Source organism: Homo sapiens, chromosome 3 (assembly GCF_000001405.40).
Source record: "Homo sapiens chromosome 3, GRCh38.p14 Primary Assembly".
NCBI lineage: Eukaryota > Metazoa > Chordata > Mammalia > Primates > Hominidae > Homo > Homo sapiens.
In genome coordinates, this window is record NC_000003.12 from 121647584 (window position 1) to 121673050 (window position 25467).

General features: G+C 40.9%; 2 protein-coding genes and 2 pseudogenes across 29 annotated transcripts in view, besides 2 other annotated features; all 4 read right to left on the minus strand.

Moving 5' to 3' along the window:
- Positions 1–13320, minus strand: part of HCLS1 (hematopoietic cell-specific Lyn substrate 1) — a 29505-nt gene extending 16185 nt beyond the window's left edge. For both annotated transcript variants that reach the window (NM_001292041.2, NM_005335.6), the window contains exons 1-3: positions 13237–13320; positions 10681–10764; positions 9696–9769 (exon numbers count right to left, since the gene is read on the minus strand). In NM_001292041.2, coding sequence (NP_001278970.2) covers positions 9696–9769; positions 10681–10764 — 158 coding nt within the window. In that variant the 5' untranslated portion in view covers positions 13237–13320. The remainder of the gene's footprint in view (positions 1–9695; positions 9770–10680; positions 10765–13236) is intronic.
- Positions 6411–6713, minus strand: RN7SL172P (RNA, 7SL, cytoplasmic 172, pseudogene; annotated as a pseudogene).
- RNU4-62P (RNA, U4 small nuclear 62, pseudogene) lies at positions 7892–8021 on the minus strand (annotated as a pseudogene).
- Positions 13163–13352: an enhancer, noted in NCBI's record as "active region_20345". NCBI's record gives its function as "activates an Ori minimal core promoter by ATAC-STARR-seq in GM12878 lymphoblastoid cells {active_cell/tissue: GM12878}" and the evidence as "EXISTENCE:reporter gene assay evidence [ECO:0000049][PMID:35858748]".
- Positions 13543–13592: an enhancer, noted in NCBI's record as "active region_20346". NCBI's record gives its function as "activates an Ori minimal core promoter by ATAC-STARR-seq in GM12878 lymphoblastoid cells {active_cell/tissue: GM12878}" and the evidence as "EXISTENCE:reporter gene assay evidence [ECO:0000049][PMID:35858748]".
- GOLGB1 (golgin B1) overlaps positions 15618–25467 on the minus strand; it is an 86766-nt gene continuing 76916 nt past the window's right edge. For 19 of the 27 annotated variants that reach the window (XM_047447994.1, XM_047447992.1, XM_047447989.1 and 16 more), the window contains 5 exons: positions 21614–21772; positions 20478–20575; positions 19893–20027; positions 17343–17448; positions 15618–17031 (listed from right to left, as the gene is read on the minus strand). In XM_047447994.1, coding sequence (XP_047303950.1) covers positions 16897–17031; positions 17343–17448; positions 19893–20027; positions 20478–20575; positions 21614–21772 — 633 coding nt within the window. In that variant the 3' untranslated portion in view covers positions 15618–16896. The remainder of the gene's footprint in view (positions 17032–17342; positions 17449–19892; positions 20028–20477; positions 20576–21613; positions 21773–25467) is intronic. The other 8 variants (XM_047447995.1, NM_001366283.2, XM_047447990.1 and 5 more) reach the window with 1 other exon arrangement.

Here is a 25467-nt window from a genome sequence, read left to right on the forward strand (position 1 = left end):
TGGGTCTGGAAGTAAAAGATCAGTCTGGCCTGCATACCATAGCCTGATTTAAACTCTCCATAGGCCAATAATATTTCCTCTAGTCTGTTATTTGCTCACTAAAATAACCTTCTGATCTTTAGTCCCATTTTTCATGTTCTTAAATATTAGAGGACAATGGTACCTATATTCTGATAACTGGAAAGTTATTTTCTTTTCTGAATGGATCTGCTTTCTATCAATTAGAGGATGTGTCTCAAAAAGCAGAAAAATATTCACATACCATTGGACCTACACATTCTAGTTTTAGCAGTCTACACCAGGGAAATGATTTTAAATATGGCAAAGCTTAATGTCCTTAATGTCTAAATGATACTCATTGAAGCATCGTATATAATAGCAATAACTAAGAAACAATCTATATGACCAATGGTTGGATAATAGTTAAATAAATTGAAATACTACCTTTCACTAGTGTACTAGGAAGTCATTAAATATAATGCTTATAAAAACACAGAACTGGGGAAATTTATGTAAACATTAGTGGTATTTTTTATGCTTTTTGGTCATGAATTAAGATCTTCTGCCCCTTCCCCCCAGGCTGATAATACCTGAGAAAACTAAGGACTAATGAAAACTAACTAAGAAAATCCACTCACAGTTATTGCTATAACACTTTAAGCCTCAAATTATCTTGATTTGAAGGGACACCTCTATCCCTAAGAGAAAGTACCACCAAAAAAGGCATTATCTTTCTTACTTCACACCCACTTCCATCTTTACCATGAAGGTGACTGCAACAATTAAGAGGGCAGAAAGCCATCTTGGCCAACCTCTTTGGCTTGAGGATATGAAGTGATAGCTCAGCCCCACGTGACAATCAGATCTGTTATTTGGACACATATAAGGATCCGGGGATTCTTGGAAACATTTGGGCAAGAGAACCCTAAATAAGAAATTTGACTTTCTGCAGCAAGCAATGAGGGTTTAGGGTATTAAGATAGTGATGTTAGATGGTGAGCTGGGACTTTACCAGCGCAGGACAACCAGACACATTGGTTATACGTAGAATGGCTGTCTCACAGCAGAAATTGTCTTCTTTTAAGGAAGAATAGATCCATCTGGTGGCCTTTAGTGGATAATTCTACCAAAGGTCTTTTTAAAAAGCCTTCTCAGCTTTAGCCGCAGTTAATTTTAGAAAGCTGGCTATGAACCAGATGAAATTAAGCCAAGTGCTGGAAGAACCCCCTGTTCCCATGCCTCCTCTAAACTCTCTGGCAGCGTTGAAAGCAGAGATCTTGTGTTGTCAGTTCAACACCAACACTGTGTCATAAGCTACTAGTACCAAGGACATGTAAATGCCTGCCCAATATCTTCCAACTGAAGTATTCAGATGAAAGATCAAGAAAATGGGGCCAAAATTTACTTTCAAATGGAAAAAATCTGCAATTTTTTAATGAATATAATAATTGTTAAATGGGTTATAACTATATTATAGTTAAAACAAGTTTTTAAAAGGGATTAGAAAATGATACTCAGAAATATTCATCTAAAGGATAACAGAAAAACTAGTCAGGGGATCATACCAATGATATAATTTGAATGAAATTGTTGAGGCCCAAAGAAAACAGACTTCTTTAGGTTATAGTGGAAGTCATTCTAAACAGGTCTTTATTATTATTATTATTATTGAGACAGAATCTTGCTCTGTCGCCCAGGCTGGAGTGCAGTGGTATGATCTCAGCTCACTGTAATCTCCGCCTCCCGGGTTCAAGTGATTCTCTTGCCTCAGCCTCCAGAGTAGCTGGGATTACAGGCATGCATGTCATGCCCCGCTAGATTTTGTATTTTTAGTAGAGACAGGGTTTCACCATGTTGGCCAGGCTGGTCTCAAACTCCTGACCTCAAGTGATCCTCTTGCCTTGGCCTCCCAAAGTGCTGGGATTACAGGCGTGAGCCACCACGCCTGGCCTAAACAGGTCTTAATCACATCATTCCTTCATTTTATAACTATTAACTAAACAACTTTTAAGTGTGAGGTACTGTTAGGCTCTGAGGACACAAAAATGTTTTATGTATGGAGATAGAGGACAGCTAGAAGAGATAGAGAGGAAAACAAAAAATTCCAATTCAATATGCTGTGTTGTGCCTAAGAAACTTTTGACATATTAACTCTCAGATATCCAATTTAAGTTTTAAAAGACTTTGTATTGATAAAGCAATGCAGTTTATGTGAACCAAGCAAAATGTAGCACCTCAAAGATGACTCATTCCTCAATCTGTGTTTGTTTTTTATTACAAAACTAAAAGCACAAATGTGAGTGACTCAGAATATAAGGTTTTTATTCACAGATGACCTGATCATGTATGTAGAAAATCCTAAAGAATTCACACAAAAAAAGCTACTAAAGCATTGTGCATTTGGCTAGGTCACAGGATACAAGGTCATTATATCAAAATCAATTGTATTTTTACATACTGGCCATAAACATTTGGAAACTGGAAGTTAAATATAAATACATGAAATAACATGAAACATTTTAGGATAAACTTAACAAAGTATGTGCAAGACCTAAACACTAAAAAATATTTCTGAAAATATTAAAGAAGATCTAAATAAATGGAGAGATATCCCATGTTCATGGATTGGAAAACTCAATATCATTAAGATGTCAGTTCTCCCTAAAATGATCTATAGATTCAATGCAATCCCAATCAAAATCTGAACAGGCATTCTTGTAGGAATTGACTAGTGAATTATAAAATTTATGTGAAAATGTAAAGTCCTGGAATAGTAAAATCTTTTGTTTCTTTTTTTTTTTTTAAGGAGAGCAAAGTTGAGGACTACATAATTTCTTGACTTATAAAGCTACAATAATCAGTGCAGTATGGTATGCTGTCAGGGTAGAAAATAGATCAACAGAACAGAATAGAGTCCAGAAATAGACCCACATGTATGTGGTCAAAGATGCCAGGTAAGTCAATGGGAACAGAATACTCTTTTAATATTGTTGAACAACTAAATAATCACATGGAGAAAAATGAACCTCAATCTTGACCTCACACTGCACAGAAAAGTCTACTTGAAATGGGTCATAGACTTAAATGTAAAAGCTAAAACTGTCAGTCCTTTAGGACAAAACATCAAAGAAAGTCTTCACAACTTTGGGGTAGGTAAATATTTCTTAGACACATAAAGCATTAGCCCCATAAATTTTTTTTCAATAAATTAGACATCATCAGGATTAAGATCTTTTGCTCTTAAAAAGATGCCATTAATAAAATGAAAAAGTGGCCAGGTGTGGTGGCTCACGCCTGTAATCTCAGCACTTTGGGAGGTCAAGGCGGGTGGATCACAAGGTCAGGAGCTCAAGACCAGCCTAGCCACTATGGTGAAACCCCGTCTCTACCAAAAATACAAAAATTAGCTGGGCTTGGTGGTGGGCGCCTGAGTCCCAGCTACTCAGGAGGCTGAAGCAGCAGAATCGCTTGAACCCAGGAGGCAGAGGTTGCAGTGAGCTGAGATCATGTCACTGCACTCCAGCCTGGGCAACAGAGCAATCAATCAATAAATAATCAATCAATCAATCAATAAAGTGAAAAAGCAAGTTATGTTCTGGGAGAATACACTTGTAAAACACATATTTCACAAAAGACTTACATCCAGAATATATAAAGAACTTTCAGCAACTTAATAAAAAGACAAACAACTCACTTTAAAAGTGAGAAAAAGATGTGAACAGATACTTCATAAAGAAGATATATGAAGATATATGAATGGCAAATGAAAATATACTCAATAAAACTGGTCATCAGAGAAATTCAAATTAACTTAAAAGAGTGGTTAAGTTGGTTTTGTTGTTGTTGTTGTTGTTTTGTTTTGTTTGTCTTTTAGAGAGGATCTCAGTCTGTCACCCAGGCTGGAGTGCAGTGGGGCAAACATGGCTCACTGCAGCCTCAACCCCCTGGGCTCAAGTGCTTCTCCTGCCTCAGCCTCCTGAATAGCTCAGACCACAGCCAGCCAATTTTTAATTTTTTTGTAGACTCTGAATCTCTCCACATTGTCCAGATGGTCTTGAACTCCTGGGCTCAAGTCATCCTCCTGCCTTGGCCTCCTAAAGTGCTGGGATTACAGGCATGAGCCACTGCACCCAGCTAAATTTAAAAATACTAACAATAACAAATGTTGACAAAAATGTGGAGCATCTGAAACCCACACATTACTGGTAGGAATGAAAGAGGGTAAATTCCCTTTGGAAAAGAGTTTGAGAGTCTCTCAAAATGTTTAACATACACTTATTATATGACTCAGCAATTCTACTCCTGGCAATTTTCCAAGAGAAATAAGGATATGTCAACAAAAAGATTTGTACCCAAATGCCCATGACAGTTTCATTTGTAATAGATCCAAATTGTCAATAATCCAAATGGCTATTGACAGGATAATGAATAATAAAACTGTGACATATCCATACAATGGGACACTACATGACAATATAAAAGAACAAAAGACTTATATACACAACACCATGGATAAATCTGGAAAACATTATGCTGAAAGAAGACAACACAAAACAATACATTCTATATTATTCTGTTTGCATGAAATTCTATGCCAGACAAAACTAATCTATAGTGACAAAAAGATCAGTATGGGGTGTATTGACTGCAAAGAGGTGCAGGGAAATTTTCATGGTAATAGATATATTCTATATCTTGATTGCATTGGTGGTTATATTATATATATATAGTCAAAACTCATTGAACTATTTGCTTATAATGATTAGGTATCAATAAATTTAATTTTTGCCTGGGCAATGGTGGCTTACACCTGTAATCCCAGCACTGTAGGAGGCCGAGGCAGGCGGATCACTTGAGGTCAGGAGTTCAAGACCAGTCTGGCCAACATGGTTAAACCCCGTCTCTACTAAAAATACACAAATTAGCTGGGCAAGGTGGCACATGCCTGTAATCCCAGCTACTCGGGAAGCTGAGGTAGGAGAATCACTTGAAGCTGGGAGGCAGAGGCGGAGGTTTCAGTGAGCCGAGATCGTACCACTGCACTCCAGCCTGGATGACAGAGCGAAACTCCGTCTCAAAAAAAACAAAGTTAATTTTTGAAAAATAATAAAGTGAAGAAAACCTTAAATGAAAGAGACTTTGGGCACTCATAAAGAGGTTTGTTTATGAAGTGATTGTAGTATTATTAAGGCCAACTTATCAAGTACTTTGTCACTGTAAACAGAATAGCAAGCAGCCTTAGGGAATTGGCAATAGCTTAGTTCATGGGAATTTGCATTTCATTTCAACAAAAGAATTACGGACATGACGATATTATGTTTATTAGACAAAAACAATATATTGGTTAAGATTTCAGCCCATGGAGTCAGACTGAGCCGAATTCAAATTACTACAGGTTGACTATCCCTCATCCCAAACGCTTGGGACCAGAAGTGTTTTGGATTCAGGATTTTTTCAGGTTTTGGAATATTTGCATATACATAATGAGATATCTTGGGGACGAGACCCATGTGTAAACAGGAAATTCATTTATGTGTCATATACACTATATTAAGGAAGGTATTAAAGAAGAACTAAATAAATGAAGGTAACTTTATTTTTCCCTTGGGGACGCTGAAAAAACTGTTGTGCACCTGTATTTTGACTGAGACCCATCACATGTAGTCAGGTGTGGAATTTTCTACTTGTGGTATCATGTGGGCTTTCAAAAATTTCAGATTTTGGAACATTTTAGATTTTGAATTTTTGGATTAGGGATGCTCAACCTGTATCTCTGTATCCTCGGACAAATTGCTAAACATTAATATATCCATTCACTTTTCTGTGAAATCAGGATGCCAACGTCATCTATGATATAGGATTGTTTTTAAAAAGTACTCTGTGTTTTGCAAGACATATAATAGCTTAATAAATGTTAGTCATTATTCTTAAGTTATAGCCATGGCTCTTCCCAGTACCCCTGTGAGGTAAACAGGGATGGTACTATAATCTCCAGTCAGCGCTGGAAATCAAGATAGGATGGTAAAATATTATTACTCTCCTCAGCATCATAAGCCTTTTTACAGCAGAGCTGGAATCAGTCCCTAGAGCTCCAGAATTCTATTTCTATACTCTTGGCATTACACCATTCTTTATTTCCACTTGCTATAAAATGTCAGGGCACGAGAAGAGGACAGGGCCACTGAGGCAGACATCCTATGGTTATAGCTCAGTAAAGATTTAATCTAAAGGCCAGACTGGTTCCAGGAAGTGCTGAAAGATTATTCCAGAGCAGTGCCACTCAGTGTGTGGTCCACAAGCTGAACTGTTTCTGTTTCACAGGGAAATAAGAATAAAAATTGAGAATATGTGTTTAGAAACTTTTATAGCAATTTGACATAGTGATTTTATTCTTTTTCTTTTTCTTTTTTAGAAATGGGGTCTCACTGTTGCCCAGGCTGGAGTACAGTGGCTACTCACAGACACAATCCCACTACTGATCAGCACTGGAGTTTTGACCTGCTCCATTTCTGACCTGGGCAAGTTCACCCCTTCTTAGGCAACCTATGGTCCCCTGCTCCTGGGAGGTGGGAGGTCACTATATTGATTCAGAATTCAGCGTGGAGACCCAATCAGCATAGAGCACTATAGCCCAGAACTACTGGACTCAAGTGATCCTCCTGCCTCAGCCTCCTGAGTAGTTGGGTCTATAGGCACAGACTAGCATGCCTGACAACATCGTGATTTTATATCTGTTGAATTTAAAAATAAAAACTGTGTTTGTATTGTCTATGTTATTTTTAACCATTTATTTTTCCAGAAACTTAATTGTATTTTATTTTACAAAAGTATCAGTCTGTGACAGATTTGAAAATAAACAAACAGGTCAAGGGAAAAGACACCCTTGAGTCTTGAGAATGAATGGGCAAGAGTGGAGAAAAGAAGGTGGAGAGAAGGGTGATAGTTCTTGAAAACCAGGCAGTTCCTTTACAGAATGGATAAGGGATGCATAGGACCATTTGAATTATTCACTGAATTACCAAATTACTATCCAAACTAAATTTATTCAAGACAGACCTAAAAAGAGACATCACGGTGTGGGGAAGGTAGTAAGATTAGTAAGAACTGCAACCACTTCCTTTTCCTGCTTTTAGTCGTCTCAGCTCTACAGCTACTGTTTTGTTTTGTTTGTTTGTTTTTTGTTTTTTCATTTTGGGATCTGTCAGTGTTAGCATCTACAGCTACTGTTCTCCTCTCCAATTTCCCTCTCCTTTCCAAGGACCATGGTGATTCCCATCAGATGTTAAAGACTGACTTAGCCCACACTAACGAGAGGGAATCCCCAAATAGTGGAGACTTACTACTGGAAAGTCCTCTAGAGGTCTTTTTGATCCAGATGGGCAAAATGAGAATCAGAGAGGAAAAGGGACTTGTCTAAAGCCACCTGGCCTGTTACCAGCAGATACCAGGCTTTCACTCCTTGATAACCTGGGTAAATGGGAGATGAGCGAGATTTTTTTGTCAATATCTCCATCGTTTATTCTATCTGATAGATTCAGTTAGGTTAACAAGGAAATGTGCAGGGTCACCATGTTGTACCACTCCAGGCAGCACCCGTCAGAGTGATCTGTGTATAGGAGTTGTGCAATCCAACAGTCCAGGTAGACACCACTTAGGAGAAAAAAGGGCTGTTGTCTGTTTACATGTTTGTTAGATTTTAGAAAGGAAATCTGATTAAACTAACCTATATTAACAGGAAACAAAACTAACATCACTGAGCTGCTCAGAAGTGCTAAGTACTGCATTAGACATTGGCTATCCCATTGACCTGTAACTATACATCTTCAGGGTGGCTATTTTTTTTTAAGTTATTTCATTTTTTTATGAGGGTTGCTTGCTCTTTTTTTTTTTTTTTTTTTTTTTTTTGCCAATGCCTACTATATTGCAAGTCGTCATGGCGGAGTGTTGGGAAGTTTTCAATTAGCAATAATCACACCTCGGATAAACCTCATTGGCTACAATACCACCAAAGGCATGAAGTGTGCATCCTCATCTGGACAATTCCCAGAATACCAGCGTTGAGTGGCCTTTATTCAGAAAAGGAAAAGGGTCTTGTGGTTTTTTTTTTTTTTTTTTTGATCTATGAGTCTATAGAGGGGTATCACAGAAGCTTCCTGAATGACCCTGTTCCATTGTTTCAATCTTTTTCCAGAATGGCATGGTTTAAGAATAATATTCATTATAGCTACTTAATTGAAACCATTTATTTATTTATTTATTTATTTATTTATTTATTTATTTATTGAGACTGAGTCTCGCTCTATCACCCTGGCTGGAGTGCAGTGGTGCGATCTCAGCTCACTGCAACCTGTGCCTCCTGGGTTCAAGAGACTCTCGTGCTTCGGCCTCCTGAGTAGCTGGGATTACAGGTGCCCGCCACCACGCCCATCTAATTTTTGTATTTTTAGTAGACACAGGGTTTCATCATGTTGCCCATGCTGGTCTTGAACTCCTGACCTCAAGTGATCTTCCTCGCTCGGCCTTCCAAAGTTTTGGGATTACAAGCGTGAGCCACCACGCCCGGCCGAAACCATTTATTTCTGATTAAACAATGTGGTATTGTCATCCAGTTGTAGAAACTTGTGCCAGGCTTTCACAGTATGTTGCTTGTGCAATGTGGTCATCCACTGACACTTTTTAAAATCTAGAGGTAAAAACACTGCTTTTAGGGTGCGGTAGGGGGAGTTAAAAATGGAGCTTAAAACTGTATTAATCTTGCCATTTTGTGTGTAGTTGTTGAATTTTTGCTTGTTACACTATTTATTGTGTCTACCTTGCTACTAATGTTTGACATTCTGATACTATCCAAAGCAGATGGTCCTGGTTAGATGATCCTGAATCATCCGTGGAAGAGAGAAGGGGATCTCTCAGCCTGAATGTATGACATATCCCACAGAAACCCCTGGATATGTCTGTAAGTTCCTTTTATCTTCTGGTATCGGAGGGTTTTGTTTGTTTGTTTGTTTCTGGTAAAATGCATATGGGGCTATAATCTTAAAGATCCCTGAACATCGTTGCCAAAATAGTTTTTATCAACAGGTTTTCCAAGTGTTACATTTCTTCATATTACCATTCATGGCTTCCAACTTCTGTCAAATAGCTAAGTACAAATCTGTATTTTAAAAGTTATTTGGGCCAGTTATGGGAGCTGAAGTGGCCTCTTTTTATAGCATTTATTCTGAGTTCTTCACCTTGACATTTTACTGAATTGTTCTTAGTTCATCTGAAGGAAGTCACCCTGAATTCTAAATACATATTTACATTTATCTGAAGAGATAGATAGGAGATAGATGATTGCCAGGTAGATAGATAGAGAGGACCTTAGTATTTGGTCCACTTCCTCTATGAATCTCTCATGCCTTACTAAAGGAAGGGAGGCAGTTAATCCAATAGACCCACTTGGGGAAATAGCAGAGTTGTTAGGTATAAAAGATAGATAATAGGGTTGAGGAGGGTAAGAGGAGAGACATAAAATGGAAATATGCAATGACACACAGGTACACACAGGAACAGACTCTAGAAAAAAAACAAACACAATAATACATAGACATGAACTACCCTATCCTTTTCCTCCCTCACCTTCCCCCAAGTCTCCGAGTTTTCTTTGGGCTCTTCCCATAACCCCCTTCCTTTTCTCCAGTCCTTTCGGCACCTACTTGATGTGTTCTGTGCGTCCAGACCCCTCGATGGTCTTGGCTCCCCATCGTTGCTCCTTTTCAGAGATGTCATTCTGCAAACGACAGCACGCAGTAATACATGACGGCAAGAAATGTGCCACATTGAGAAGGGCCACCCAACTGACACATGCCCTCCATGTCCCCTGTGTCCACTGCCTTCTTCAGTCTGGGTCTTTATTCACATCCCCTCTATATTTATCCCATCCTGACCCCATGTAAGAATTAAACTGGTGAGGCCAGGCGTGGTGGCTTATGCCTGTAATCCTAGCATTTTAGGAGGCCGAGGCGGGTGGATCTCTTTAGGTCAGGAGCTCAAGACTAGCTTGGCCAACATGGTGAAACCCCATCTCTACCAAAAAAATACAAAAATTAGCCAGGTGTGGTGGCATGCACCTGTAGTCCCAACTGCAGGGACTACTTGGGAGGCTGAGGTAGGAGAATCGCTTGAACCTGGGAGGCAGAGGTTGCAGTGAGCTGAGATTGCACCACCGTACTCCAGCCTGGGTGACAGAGTGAGACTCTGTCTCAAAAAACAAACAAGAAAACACAAAGAATTAAACTAGTGAGCTCTGAAACCTCCGTTCCTCCTCTGCCTACTTCATGCCTACCCCATCTGGTCTCCTACAGCTTTTTAATCCCCCAATTACACATGCCCAGCTTGAATCCTGGATCATGGGCCAGGGGAGACCCAGGTTCACCTGCTTCTCACCTTCAGTGTAGCCTGCCATGGCCTGTCAATCACACTGTCAAACTCACCCACACCTGTCTCTTTTCATCCCTGATACCAGGTATCGTGCATGCCCCACAGGTGACAGCCAATTGTCCTACCAATTAGTCCCAGTATGAGGGCTGTCTCAGTCCTAGAAGGCCCTTTTCCAAGCATCCTCAAAGATCACAGAGTGGCCCAGATGCCCTCCTCACCCCACCCTCTGCACTGTCCAAGCAAAGCTACTTCCAAACTCACCACAAAGTCAGGATCTGTGTCCCAATCATCACCCTGGGTCTCCACGGAAACAGACACATCATGGCCCACTACAGACTTCCACATCTGAGAGTGACCGGAGATGGGAATAATTAGGGACAAAAAAGGATCAAGAGGAGGGAAAATAGGAATGCTGAAGTCAAAATATAGCAGCCCAATATTTCCTGCCATTTTTTTTTTCTTAGAAGAAAATAGAAAATGAAGCAAAGCAAATGGGAGTTGTAGGAAGGCTTTTCTGCTCAGTTACAAGATGAGAGATGGGACTTTAATCAAGACGAATTGATGTGGGCTGGGCCCACCTGGGGCTAGAGAGAAGTCATCATGGGTGTGGGTAACACTAGGTAACCCACGAGTCAAAATTGCTGGAATTGTTCACTTGTGTCCCGAGGCCAGCCAGGCAGTGGCTGGAGGTGGTTGGCAATGAGCGGTGCTATAATATCCCTAGAATTATGGCCTTATTTCACTCAGGTTTCTATATATGATTCCTTTGTTGCTGTTGAAATACAAATTGGTTCTGCTTCTCACAAAGTGAACATCTACATCCCTCTTTACAACCTGCTGAACTACACTGAGAATTTTTCCAGCCTCTGGTCCAAGTGCTGTCCCACCTCCACCCTGAGTCTGGTCACCTCACAGCTGTGTAAGGTCAGCAGCGACAGTCGGCTGAAATTTCCACATGGAACAATGCATTGGGAGAGCATTATTTGCTGGGAATAAGTCAGTTATTACTCAATTTTTTAAAAATGGTTCAATTAATTGCTAAAGTCAAAAAATAGCATGTTTTCAAGTTGACAATTTACCGTAGAAAAGAAAAAAGAATAATATGTAATAAATCTGATTTTGAACATTAAGAGGTACTCAGTTTTTATCAACTAAATAAATGTTGCAGAAATATTTAGAGAACCCTAGCTTGGAAGGGTGCCAAACTTATTCTGCTGGGGCATTCCCAGTGTTCTAGACGGCCTTCCGGACTGTGCAGAAGGAAGAGCGGCACAGTTGCTCTGCATCTGTGGATTTGGTGTGAAGAAGTAACAACAGACAATGCTCATCTGCTGTGGTCACCACTGAGACTTCTTGACCCTGGCAGCACTTGCTAGCTGGCAATCCTTCCCTCCTCAGACACCTCATCCCATTGGAGACCTTCCCCATGCTCTCCATCGTCTCCAAAGAGTCCCTTTACAACCACTCCTCGGGTTCTCCTGTCTCCACCTAGGCCTTCAGATTCTCCAGTTTTCTATTTCCACTTGAAAGCTCCATCTTCTCCATTGAGCAACCTCTTAAAAACCAGCCCAGGGGAAGTCTGGGTAAATCAGTTAAAGAGATGCTAAGGGGACACCGGAGAGATATTGACTGAGTCAGCCGGGAGTCATGGCTGAAAGCAGCTTGGCTTTCCCTGATGCGGTTGGAGACAGCAAAACATCCTTACTACCTGCATCCTTACTACCCCTCTGCTTCTCATCCCCTGGCTCCTGGGCTGCTGTGCAACAACAAAAGGACTGTCACACAGAAAACTGGAATGGAGAAGTTTCTGAAATAGTCATGAGCAATAAGGAAGCAATGAGGACTGATGGTCCCATCCTCCTTCCTGTGGCTCCTCTGAGGCCTCAGCCTGACTCTCCCATTCACCCATTTTTGAAATAAAGAGTTTCTGAAATAGAGACAATTTATCTAATATCCTTGACCTATTGACCAGAAACCAGAAAGGTAAGAAGTGCTATCTAGAGGTGAGAACCAGAGAGTAATCTGGTGAGGCCTTGTTGCGATGCTGACCTCCTGCATCAAAGTACACAGACTGGGAGTCAGAAGCCCTGGCTGTCACCCCAGCTCTGTGACTAAGCCTCTGAGGGACCATCACAAGGGCATCAACAGAGTAGGTACTCATTTGCCAGGTATCAGACCAGGCGATTAAGAAATACTAACTTTAATAATTTGGCAAATCAGCAATTATCTCTGATTTTCCCAGTGGAAAATAATGAAGGGGTTAACGTAGCTCATCTGTGGTCTCCTTGATTTCTGACATTCTGAGATTCTGTGATCTACGAACACAGAAACTAGCCCCAGCAGAACAATCATGCCTTCTCTTGGGCTCCATCAGCACTTGGTACTCAGTGCTAGTGTACATCAGTGACTACTTCCTGATCTGTTACATTTCCTGTGTGGGTTTGTTTCCCTGAGACCATATGCTCTTCAAGGGCAGACACTGTTTTCGTCTCCTGTGGTCCTCCTCCCAGCTCAGTACCTAGGGGAGACAGGCCTTAGAGTGGGTTGTAGATTGTCAGCAGAAACCAGGCAACACTTTGCTTGATGTTGGTGCTAGATGGCTCCTGAAACACTTGCCTTGGGTTTAAGCCCCTCCCTTTTGTTTCTATCTCCAGATGCTGATTTGCTACAACCACTCACAACCAGGCCTTCTGGCCATAAAAGGATAAAAGCCTACTAGTGGTGACCTTGCCCATCACCAAGGACTAAGAGCCAGGTAGGTTCCTCCTCAACTCTTACTCTGTGTTTCCCAACTGTCCCATGGCTCAGAGTACCCACCTCCACCTGTGCAAGCCTCTGTTCTAAGCGCCCGGCTCCTCGCGTCCACACCGACTCCCTCTCTGGCTGCTGCCACTTCGGAGTGAGAAACTGAGCTGCTGCTTCAGTTCCGTATTCAGGTTTTCGTCATTTCCTGCCACCCCATCCTCACAGCTACTTCCTGAAATTTGAGTCAGTTCCTTCTGCTTTAGACACTTAAATTTTAAAAGGATTAAATGTTTCTGTGCCTGGTCTTTTGCAAGGTTTTGACAATGGGGGTCATAGAGCAGTCATAGAAAATGCTGCTTTGACTCTGAGTTTGTAATCCAGTGAGAGAAACAAACATTCAACCAGAAAACACATTAGAGAATGCTGTAGAACAGCATTGTGTCCTAAATAGGGTGGCAGTTACATTTGAGACAGTAAAGGAATTCAGAGCATTTGGTATTGGGTGTATTCATCAAGAAAGGCTTTATGGGAAAAGTGATTTATATGTGGGTTTTGAAGCATAAGACTTAAAAAGAAACTCACCCCTATATTACCCACAGCACTTAAAAGTGGAGTTTTCATATAGATGTTCAAATAAACGTCGACCAATTGAATGCCAGAAGAGAATAACTCATGAGGGAAAAGGCAAGACATGGAAGGAGAGTTTCCTAGCTTGTTTGGGGCACTGTGGAGTCTGAGCTAACAAACTAAAGATTTGGCTCTAGAGCGTAGGAAGAATTCTGAAAGAACCAGGTGCTGGTCAGCTGATGGAAGAAGGTCTTTGTGGTATCCTGTTTTACTGCGTGTCAAGACTTGCTGCCCCTCCCTTCCCTCTTGAAGTCAGACTTACTCAGGTGACTTGTTTTGGCCAGTGACAGATACCACTTTCTGGCGGAGGCCGTAAGACCACTGCAAGCTTTGCCATGCTTTCACCACTGCCCAAGGCAACCTGCAATTCTCCATATTGGCTCCTCCAGCAGACTGGGTCCCTGAGTGAGAAAGAACACAAGTGGAGCCCCATCCACCATGTGGGGGAATTGGAGTCTTTCACTAAAAAATAGTCCTTTGTTTTGGCTACTGAGAATTTGAGGGTGTCTGTTATTGTATCTGACCTAGCCTTTCCTAATCTTGATTGTGGACTTCTTGATTTGTTCACAACGGTGCATCCTCCAAGGAGTTTAAGCAGGACTGGATGAAACTGGCCCATGATACAGGCACTTTTCTGCATTAGGAATATGAAGCCTCTGTCACTTCCAAATCTAAGGATTCTATGCCTGGGGGAGCTTTATTTATTCCTTCTACTTTATTACCTATTTATCATGGTGGTACCAAAGTTATGATAAGGAAGAGTACGTTTGTACAAGAGAAAAATCACTTGGAATCCTCATGTAGTGTCAAAATACGATTTAGACTAGATGATGTGACACACCATCCAGGTACATAGTTCTCTAGAGAAAATATAGAAATTAATCAGAGATGACACCAAGAAGTCCCATCTTTCCTTAGCAAATGTCACAAGTTCATTACTGATGAGGTAGTGAGGTGTATCACACAGAAAAAGAATGGGCCTTGAAGCCAGACAGACTTGGTTCAATTAAACCACTTATTGTACTTTGAGAAAGTGAGCTATCTTCTCTCAAGCAGCAACTTAATATAAAAATCCATAATAGCTGGGCACGGTGGCTCACACCTCTAATCCCAGCACTTTGGGAGGCTGAGGCGGGTGGATCACAAGGTCAGGAGTTTGAGACCAGACTGGCCAACACAGTGAAACTCCATCTCTACTAAAAGTGCAAAGATTAGCCGGGCATGGTGGCAGGTGCCTGTAATCCCAGCTATTTGGGAGACTGAGGCAGGAGAATCGCTTGAAACTGGAAGGCGGAAGGTGCAGTGAGTTGAGATTGTGCCACTGCACTCCAGCCTGAGCGAAAGAGTGAAACTCGGTCTCAAAAAAAACCCAACAAAACAAAACAAAACATAATAATGCCTATCTAACCTGCTACATGCTATTAAGCTTCTCTTCTCCCATTCCCACCCAGAGGGATCCCTAGGGGCCTAATGTTTTCACTATGTGCCAGACAAGAGTTCTCCCAGGACCATGCATGGACCTGCATCAATTTCATGCCCTAAGGCCCAGCTTATTTGGTTCAGTATTAGGATAGAATTTCCTCACTGCATTCATCACCTGGGGTCTAGCAGCTAAGGCTGGAAAAATGCATGCAGCTGTCACTGATATTGGCCAGTGAGAAGAAAGCCTGAATATGTAGAGCTTTCTACCCCTATAACCATTCCTGGCTACCTCCTTTCCCTACTTCCCTTACCCACCTTCCACCCCCCAGCATGCAAACACAGGTACCGAAACACCTGTGCACATATCCATTCACTCACACGTACACACACATACACACAAACTCTTCATTCTGAAAATAATTTTATTATTTTACAGTTGTTCAGGAAACTTCCCAGGATGTTGTAACCAAGATTTAATCACCACAGTAGATTTAGAGCAGATCAGTCAGCCCACTTGTCTTCTCTCTTCTTTAGGGAGAGGCTAGGCAGTGAACACATCACGTATGCAATGAGAAAATAACCAACTGGTAGGATGGGGGAGGGGAGGGGAGGCAGGGAATAGGCACAAATGGAATTCTATCCTGGCTGTCCTTCTCAGGTCTATCTATATTTAATTTTGTCTTCTCTATATTCTCCTTCCATTGCCACAGAGGGCAGAGACAATGGGGCTGAGAAACTGTAATAACTGTCACTAACAGCAAAGTAGCTTAGTACTTCAAGAGGTCAGGAGTTGCAGTGTGGTGTTAGACCAGTCAGACTCCTGGCTGAGAGTCAATGCCTAATATTGGCTCCCAGTGGCCCCTGAGCACTGTCTCAGGGTCCACATTCCAGGAATATTCAGATATTCCTGGAATGACAAGAATTGGAACCCTGCTGTCCATAGACACTTCTCCCTGCCCTTTGGTGAAAGGAAAGACTTGGGCCACTTAATACCTTAGTATACATGTGATCAAGGGCAAAAGCAAAGGGATTCTATCCTTATAGTCTAAGACCTGAAATTCTCCCTCCAATTATATCTGAAATTGGCAGGGAAGAAGATGCTGTCCTCCCATGTGATCTAACAGCTAAAACCCCTAGGGAGTTCCTTCAGCTTTCACCACCCTATTCTGCAAGAGACCTAAATCAGATGTCCTATGAGGTGACATGTTCATTTCCCTGAACTCTGTTTATGGCAGAGCCACCTTCCCCCTGAAACAGGAGAAAATACAGGCAAACAAGGCAAAGAAAGTTATCAATCAAAATGATACTGAACTTCAGATTATTAGGTTTATTGAAACCATCCTCTTGGCTTGGCTGAAAGACATTCCTCAGTATCTTTTACAGGACCACAAAAGATCAGGGTCCTGCAAAATCTCAACAAATATTAGGCTCAACAAACCAAATGTGATTCTCAGATTAAGCAGAAGCGTTCAGGCTCAGGGCAGTAGAAGAAAGCAGACTCGCCAGTCCCTGCAGCTCCAACCTGTCCTCGTATCCACCTCTGTTTTTGCAGGCACTTTCCGTGAAGAGTTGGAGAGAAGACCTGTAAATGGGAAGACTGTTCCACTGGAATTGATGTTCTGATGTTAGAGGTGAGAGAATTCCAAGTTTTGAGGGGAGTGGTCCAAAGAGTAACAACTAAGTCTATAGATGGCCCGTAAAACACAGAATGAGCAGGACATGAATCATTAGAAAGTAGATGGCTGCTAGAAGTGGCACTCGGGTCCGTGAATGACAGAGTGAACGCAGGACTCGCTTCCATCCAACGCCACTCCGGGTCTGAAAGAAAAATGTGAAAGTCAGAGAGTTTTCACCCTATAGGGCTATGTTGCTTTCCCTCCTACTAGTCTTGCACTTAAGCAAAGCTGACCCAACCACTGTAGAAAGGGGTATTCTGAGAGGAAAGTTGCCTCAGAGTCAACAACTTGGCAAATTCCACCAGGTTCTAATCTTCCACGCCCTTCCAGCCTTAGACTCATTCGCTGCTCAGTGGCTGGACTTCCACATTCCTTCTCCTCAGCTCCTTGCCCCCAGTATAGCCAGCCCTGTCAGATAATAAAACACCCTCTCTTTATCCTTCTTCCTCTTACCCTTCGACAACTGTTGCTTGTAAGATCTATTAACAGTGCCTGCTCCTGAGTGCCACAGGAGCCAATGATAGGAGTCCGGGAAGAGTCCCATTCACTGTGCTCTAACCTGAGTTGAGAAAAAAAAGAGGCATAGCATTGGTTCATAGCATGAGAGGCTGATCAGGCCCAGTCTTCCCAGTCATCCTGCCACACAATGCAGCACAGGAGGAGACTTGCAGCAAAAGCTGCTCCCATAAACCCAAACCCATGCAAGGGGGGTACCAGCAGATACGTTTCCTTCAGCAGCAGCAAAATGTGACAATAACTATCAGGAATTGACTGCCTACTCACTATGTATCAGGCTCTAGGCTGGGTGCTTTACATACATTTAATCCTCAGGTTCTGAGGTTGGTCTTATTATCTTCAAAGTGCTAAGGCTTACAGAGGTTAAATTACTTGCCCATGGCGGCACAGCCAGTAAGCGGCAGAGCCAGAATTCAATACCCAACTTTGTCTTTCAAGCCTCACGTTCTTTTTTCCACCACACCACACCTGACTTGGAGAAACTCATTACATTTTTTTCTTTTATTAAAGGCTAATAGGCAAAAGCATCCAAAGAAGATTTCTGTGGGGTTTTAAAAATTAAATTGAACTAAAAAAAATTAAATTGAATTGGCAGTCTCCACTGCCTTCTGGCTCAGTTTTTGCTGATTTGCTTATTTAATACTGGAACTTCTCCATTTAATGAAGAAGCTGCCATTACTCACTCAATGGTTATGTCAAACAAACAAAGGAGCTGCATGTAACACAGCACGTTTGATCAAGCATTTGCCTATAGGGATGAACTTTTTCAATAGGGAAGAGAGGATGAAACTCTTGCCTCTACTCTTTGTGTTTTCTCCTTCTGAAAGGATATCTATTAGTTTAATATTCTTGGGCTCTCTGCAGGACACATTCTTTTCCCCGGGAGAGAAGAAACACCTTAATCCAATTTGTGAGTCTAGAAAGAGAACTGAGCATGCACAGCCTAGCTCCTTCTTTCCTGCTTCCCTCCTGAGAGCCAGGCTGACTAAAAAATACACCTTCTGTGTCTATTCCTCCATGTGATAAGCTTTTCAGAAGCAGCTTTGATCTGGAACAGCATGGTCTGTTACTATGGAGGTCAGTCTGTCAATGTAGGCTATGCTGAGGAAGGATGAGAAGTCTGTAGGTATTGATGAGGAAGATGGTACTGGCTGCCTTTAAACTGGAGGGCCACTGAGTTCCACCTGCTCTTTAGAGTACATGTGAGATTCTAACATTACAATGGCAGTACCTGGACTAGGCAGGCAGCCCTTAATTAGCTACCCCAACTTCCATTCTGCATCAGAGCTAAAGAGGGAATTGTGGCTTGAATTAATACGGCTTGCCCACAGGCTCAAGAGTCATCATCCCACACATGCAGTCTCAGTTGGTTTGGGACAGGTTAGTTACACAAGAGGGAGATCAACCTCCCCATTGGCCAGGTTTCACCGGTCTAAACAATTCAATAGCAAGTAGAAGAGAAACAGTCATGAGGGCACAGGCCTGAAAATGCTCGGCAGAGATGGCAAGACACCACACAAGGCATTAAGCAAAGCTGGCCCACCCTCAAAGCTGCATATCAAGGCCTGAATAGGTGATGAAAATTAAGAAGTTGTGAATATGTTGGATTGGAAAGAAAGGTATCTCAAGTAAGACCTGCTCAATGGGGCTGTCACCTCTGCCACATAAACTTTACAAGAAAGCATTAATATCAGAAATGTCATTCTCTGAGGAAAGTGATCATATACATAGGTGGCTTTCTCCCAAAATATAATAAAAGTGCCTGCTTTTAACGATATTTTCCGTGGAAAGGGACTTCCAGCAGCAAAATACTTGTAGCAACTCTCTATCCTCTCATGCATAGTGATTCTTTTGATGAGAATAAGGAACTAGGGATGTGTAGCTCTGCCCTTCCAAATTACACTTGGAGCAAACTGCTCATAGGAAGCACAGTTCACTCTGTTATTCCAATACTCTTGTTTGGCAAGAGCAGGATTTTCTGTGAAGGAGGTCTACCTTGGCCCAACATTGTCTGTGACTGGGAGGGGAAGTTCAGGGTTAGGAAGTGCATTTGCCAACAAATAAAAAGCTACATTCTTTTAACATCATTTATAAAGCAGTCTTTTAATCTCTCAATCTTTTAATCTTTTAAAAAAGATTTCCATGGATTCAGATCTCAGGTAGAAAATGAGGTTGTCACTTATTTGGTCCTCTAGAGAACCCAACACCTACCTCATATAGTTATGGTTAGGGTGAAATAAAATATCTTTCAGTAATGGTAGATATCATTATTATTCTCTAAGAACAACTGTTTTAGAAAACACTGACTCTCTTATACTCCAAAAGTACAGTGTTCTCTTGGGTGACCACAATGTTGGTAAACTCATTGCAGCAACTACCTCAAGATGAGAAAAAGATCTTAAGAAATCCTAAGTCTGGCAGGAAATGTACATGAGTTTGATCAGAAAGGATCGGAAGGGAACAGAGGCTATCTCCTTCAGCCTTTACCGTCTGATCTGCTCCTCGGCCACAGAGAGAGCATTCTCAGCAGCCACTCTTTGGTCTCGTTCTTCTTCCAGCAGCTTCCTTAATTCATTCACTTCCTGTCTGGTGTTGCATAGCTGCTGCTGAGCTTCAGAAAAGCTTTAGGATGAGAGGAAAACAAAAAGCATCATCAGATGCAGAAAACAGTTGCTAATACAAGGGATTCAAAGTCTTCATAAGGTTGTAAAGCAAGAAAATCCATAGAAGCTTGTCTAAACACAATATTTTAAAAGCAAAGCTGTAGAGGGATTAAATGAAGCTGCAGAAAATACCTAAAGAAATTTCAGGAACTGATTATCTTTCATTTTACTATCATAGAGTAGTTGTTAGTGGTGTGTGTGTGTTGGTGTTGCTCTTTTTGTTTTACAAACTTTTCACACACAAATGTTAGTTATTATTGTTACTATTTGATCCTCACATCACTTCTGTGAGGCTAATAAGATAACAAGACATATTAAATCCATATAAAGGACTCCAGTTAAATCTAGATTACTGCCCAATTTCTGGACTCTGGTGTATGCTCCAGGGTTTAGAGAGCCACTCCCCTACCTTTGCTGCGGTTCCCTTAGTTCCTCAGGGTCACTCTTTCTGTGAACTCCATTCTTTTCCTGGGGAGCTCCTGGAGCAACATCTATATTTAGTGGCCCCTGGAAGAAGAATAAGCTTAGTAATTCAGTGATGAAAGCTCTTAAGAAAGTGTATTTGAGCAAAATGAGAGCTCGTTTACAGAGGACTATCCCCGCTTATAATTCTCAAGTCCAAATTTAGAAGTGAGAAGCTTCTGCTCTAGCAGATTACTCACCTACATAAAACTCTTGTCTTGATTAGATTTTTCTCCCAGATTCTCATTCTTGAATTTCTCCTCTTAAAAGTTAAGTCTGGGCCGGGCGCCGTGGCTCAAGCCTGTAATCCCAGCACTTTGGGAGGCCGAGGTGGGTGGATCACAAGATCAGGAGTTCAAGACCAGCCTGGCCAAGATGGTGAAACCCTGTCTCCACTAAAAATACAAAAAATTAGCCGGGTGTGGTGGCAGGCGCCTGTAATCCCAGCAACTCGGGAGGCTGAGGCAGAGAATTGCTTGAACCCAGGAGGTGGAGGTTGCAGTGAGCCGAGATCGTGCTACTGCATTCCAGCCTGGGCGACAGAGCGAGACTCCGTCTCAAAAAAAAAAAAAAAAAAAAAAAAGTTAAGTCTGCTGTGGATGCTTATGGCTTTTCCAGAAGCCACTTTGATCCTTCCCTTGCTTGTCCAGCCCCTCCCAACCCCCTTTTCCTCCTCCGTATCCTATACGTCTCCATACTAATTCTCAGTCTCCTCCAACTTCAATGCTGTACTCCTCTCCCTGGCTGTCAACAGTGCTGCCTGTTTTGTTCTCAGATCCAAAGTTTCCTACAATTTTCTTATAACTTAAAGCAAAATCAACACTTTCTCTGTTTCAGAGTACCAAATGTCTCAGTCATCACTGTTTCCTACTCATGTTTTGATTTCTCTCCCACCATCTCACTGATCTTTTTTCTTCTAATTGCTTCACTGTAATTTTTCTCAGACCTTATTCCCATCTCAATTAACTCTTTCTTCTCTCCCACTTTCTTCCCTGACCCCTAATTACATTAACTTCTTCCATACTGCTCTGTAGTGCTTCACCACTTGCACTAAATTTCATCACACTTCTCCCAGTCTCTCACCTTCTCTTTACTCACCGCCTGCAGCTCTTGAACCTGCTTCTCCAAGACTGCACAGTGATTTAAAAGGTCACCATAGTGCTGCTGGTTCTCACGAAGACTCTGACTGGTATCGCAGAGCTGAATGGAAAGGGTGTTTTTCTCTTCCAGTAGCTGAGAGAACTGAAACAGAGGCGAGGATAAGCATCATCCTGCAGTACTGTAAGCAGTGCTGAGGTGAAATGTTCTGAGTTTTCAGGATCTAATTTTCCTATGGAAGACCTTTGTTTCAGCAACAGCAACAATAGCACTTTGTGTGCCTTCAAAGTTGGAAAAAGCATAATTTTTTTTTGACCAAGACAGAAAACAATTCTGGAGGAGTAGCAGAAAGGTTTTTTTGTTTTGTTCTGTTTTGTTTTTTTAAATGGTGCCCAGTACATTAACTGAAAAACCATGAAGCAGAAGTCCATAAGCAATCTAATTACATAGGCTATTCTGGGTACATAAGAGGGAGAAGGCAGTACCTCAGGGTCAAAGTTCATGGTACTAACAAATGACTATAATCTCCAGAACTCAATATGGCTGGAGAGAGCTGTCACCCCAAAATCTGTGCAATAATATTCCTAGGCAGATTCCTCAATGCCATAAAGAGTTATAAGTTACTGAGAGAATAGAATAAAAAATTATAATATGTGGTAGAAGGGAGAAACAGAATAAATCCCAACATGTATATGTATATGTCAGAAACTGTTGAGAGCATAGATTCTCCCAGGTAGAAACATTTCAGTCCCTTAAAGCAGGACTCTCCTCTACTGCATGACTAACAGGTCATCGTTCAGTCTTCCCTTGAACATGTTCAGTGTCAGGGCGCCCACTGCCTGACAAAGCAACCCAAACCATTTAAAAAACTGAAAATTCATTTTTATATTGAATGAAAAATTTACCTATTGTAGCTTCTACCCATTGATTTGAATTTGGTACTCTGGAACTATAATTCTCTCACTTGCAGGCTGTCAAGTTTTAAGTTTTAGCTGTGATTAGCCTCCAGGTACATTAATAACCATGGAGATGTCTCTCCAAGTTATCTACTCTAGGACCATGTACATTATATGAGAGGAACCCAGTATACCAGTTGCATGTTCAATTTTTTCTTGATGATTCTTTTTTGTAAGTTTTTGTGAAAAAAAGTTGAAACAAACAATGTTTTAGAGGAGAGACGACAGTTTTCTAGAGACAACTGTGAGGAAGGGCATTTGATGCAAATAGAAAATTAGAACAAGATAATCCATACATACTTGTAAAAGTGCTCTGTTAGCTGAAAATTGCTCTTCAGATGTAGGGTTGTTTTTTGTGTTTGTCATTCTGAAGAGCAATGTTAGCTTACAAAGTACTTTCACCAGTATCATCTTATTTGAGAGAGGTAGAGAAAGGATTTCTGTCCTTGTTTACAAATGGCTAGTAGATGTCAAACCAGGACTCAAGTGTGGTTCTTGATTCCAAGTCTAGAGCTCTATCTACTATCTGATGGTGTCCAGTCTGATAGTCTAGCAAGGAAAGCTAAGAAAATCATAGGGTTTTCTTTTGGGGGGGGGGGTGTGGGAGGAGGTGGGAATAGTTAGGAAAGGATATAAATATTTGGGAAGTGATACTAATTTGAAGACAGTTAACTGGGTACAATGACAACTATTGGATTCTGAGACAGGGCACAACATGTTCTTCCCTTAACCTAAGAGGAAGTTAATTTTCCTGGCCACAATGAACAGTCCAAACCATACCAAAAACAAAAACATAGATCCTTCTAGTTTAGGGGTTGGCAAACTATGATCCAGGGCCTGCTGCCCTTTTATCATAAATAAGGTTTTACTGGAACACAACCAGCCCAATTGATTCTATATTGTCTATGGCTGCGTTTGTGTTACAACTGCAAAGATGAGTAGTTGTTAACAAAGACCATACAGTCAACAAACCTAAAATATTGTCTGAGCCTGAAGGAAAAGTTTGCTGACCTCTCCTCTAGCTTATAAGCTACTATATTTCACTGTATCTATACCTGTAAAAACAAAATAGGAGGGAACAATTTAGACTACATTATGTCACTAATCATCCATCTCATGTTTTTAAGTTTCTAGCACATTCTTACATTACATACTAACATCCAAACAGCTGGTAGAAATGCAGTCATCCCTTGTTATCTATGGGGTATTGGTTTCAGAACCACCCCTGGACCCCCAACTCCCAGTATACCAAAATTCGAGGACGCTCAAATTCCTTATATATAATGGCAGGGTATTTGCATATAACTTATACACAACCTCCCAGATACTTAAAAAATTTTTTAATTCATGTATAATAGATATACATAGTTTCAGGATACATGCTATAATGTAATATATTCATATAATTTGTAAAGATCAAATCAGTGTATCTGGAATATCCATCACCTTAAGTATTTGTCTTTCCTTTACGCTAGAAGCATTTAAATTCTTCTCTTCTAGCTATTTTGAAATATACAATAGATTGTGGTAAACTATAATCACCTATTGATTTACCTAACACTAGGTCTTATTTCTTCTATCAAACCATGTATTTGCACCCATTAATCAACTTCTCTTCATTCCCTCCTCTCCTTTATCCTTCCCAGCCTTTAGTAACTACCAATGCACTCTCTATCTTCATGAGATTCACTTTTTTTTTTTTGCTCCCACACGAGTGAGAATGTGATATTTGTCTTTCTGTTCTTGGCTTATTTCACTTAACATAATGTCCTCCAGTTCCATCTATGTTGCCACAAATGACAGAATTTCATACCTCTAAAAGCTGAATAATATTCCCTTGTGTACATATACCACATTCTTAATCTATTCATCTGTTGACGGGTACTTACATTGATTCTATGTTTTGTTTTTTATGAACAGTGCTCCAATAAACATGGGAGTACAGATGTCTTTTTGATATATTGATTTTCTTTCTTGTAGATACGTGGGTTGCTGGATCATATGGTAGTTCTATTTTTAGCTTTTTGAGATACCTCCATACTGTTCTCCACAGTGGCTGTACTAACTTACATTGCTAACAGTGTATGGGAGTTCCCCCTTTCTCTGCATCCTTGCCAGAATCTGTTACTACCTGTCTTTTTGATAAAAGCTATTTCAGCAAAGGTGAGATGACATCTCACTATAGCTTTGATTTACAATTCTCTGATGTTTAGGGATGCTGAGTATTTTTTTTTATATCTGTTGGCCATTTGTATGTCTTCTTTTGAGAAACGTCTATTCAGATCTTTTGCCCACTTTTAAGTTGAGTTATTTGTTTTCCTGCTATTTAATTGTTTGAGTCCCTTATATATTCTGGTTATTAATCCCTTGTTAGATGGGTAGTTTGCAAATGTTTTCTCTCATTCTGTGGATTGTCTCTTCACTCTGTTGATTGCTTCCTTTGCTGAACAGAAGCCTTTTACTTGCTGTAATCCCATTTGTCTATTTTTGCCTTGGTTGCCTGTACTCTTCAGGACTTACACAAAAAAAGCCTTGGCTAGATCCATGTCCTGAAGCATTTCCACAAGTTTTGCTCTAGTAGTTTCATAGTTTCAGATCTTAGAATTAAGTCTTTAATCCATTTTGATTTGATTTTTGTATGATGAGAGATAGGAGTCTAGTTTTATTTTTCTGCATATAGATATCCAGTTTTCCCAGCACCATTTATTAGAGAGATTGTCCTTTCTCCATCATATGTTCTTGGTGCCTTTGTCAAAGACAAGTTGCCCCTAAATGCCTGGCTTTATACCTGGGTTTCTAATTGTTTCATTGGTGGTCTGTGTGTCTGTTTTTATGCCAGTATCATGCTCATTAAACAGGTAGTGTGATGCTTCCAGCTTTGTT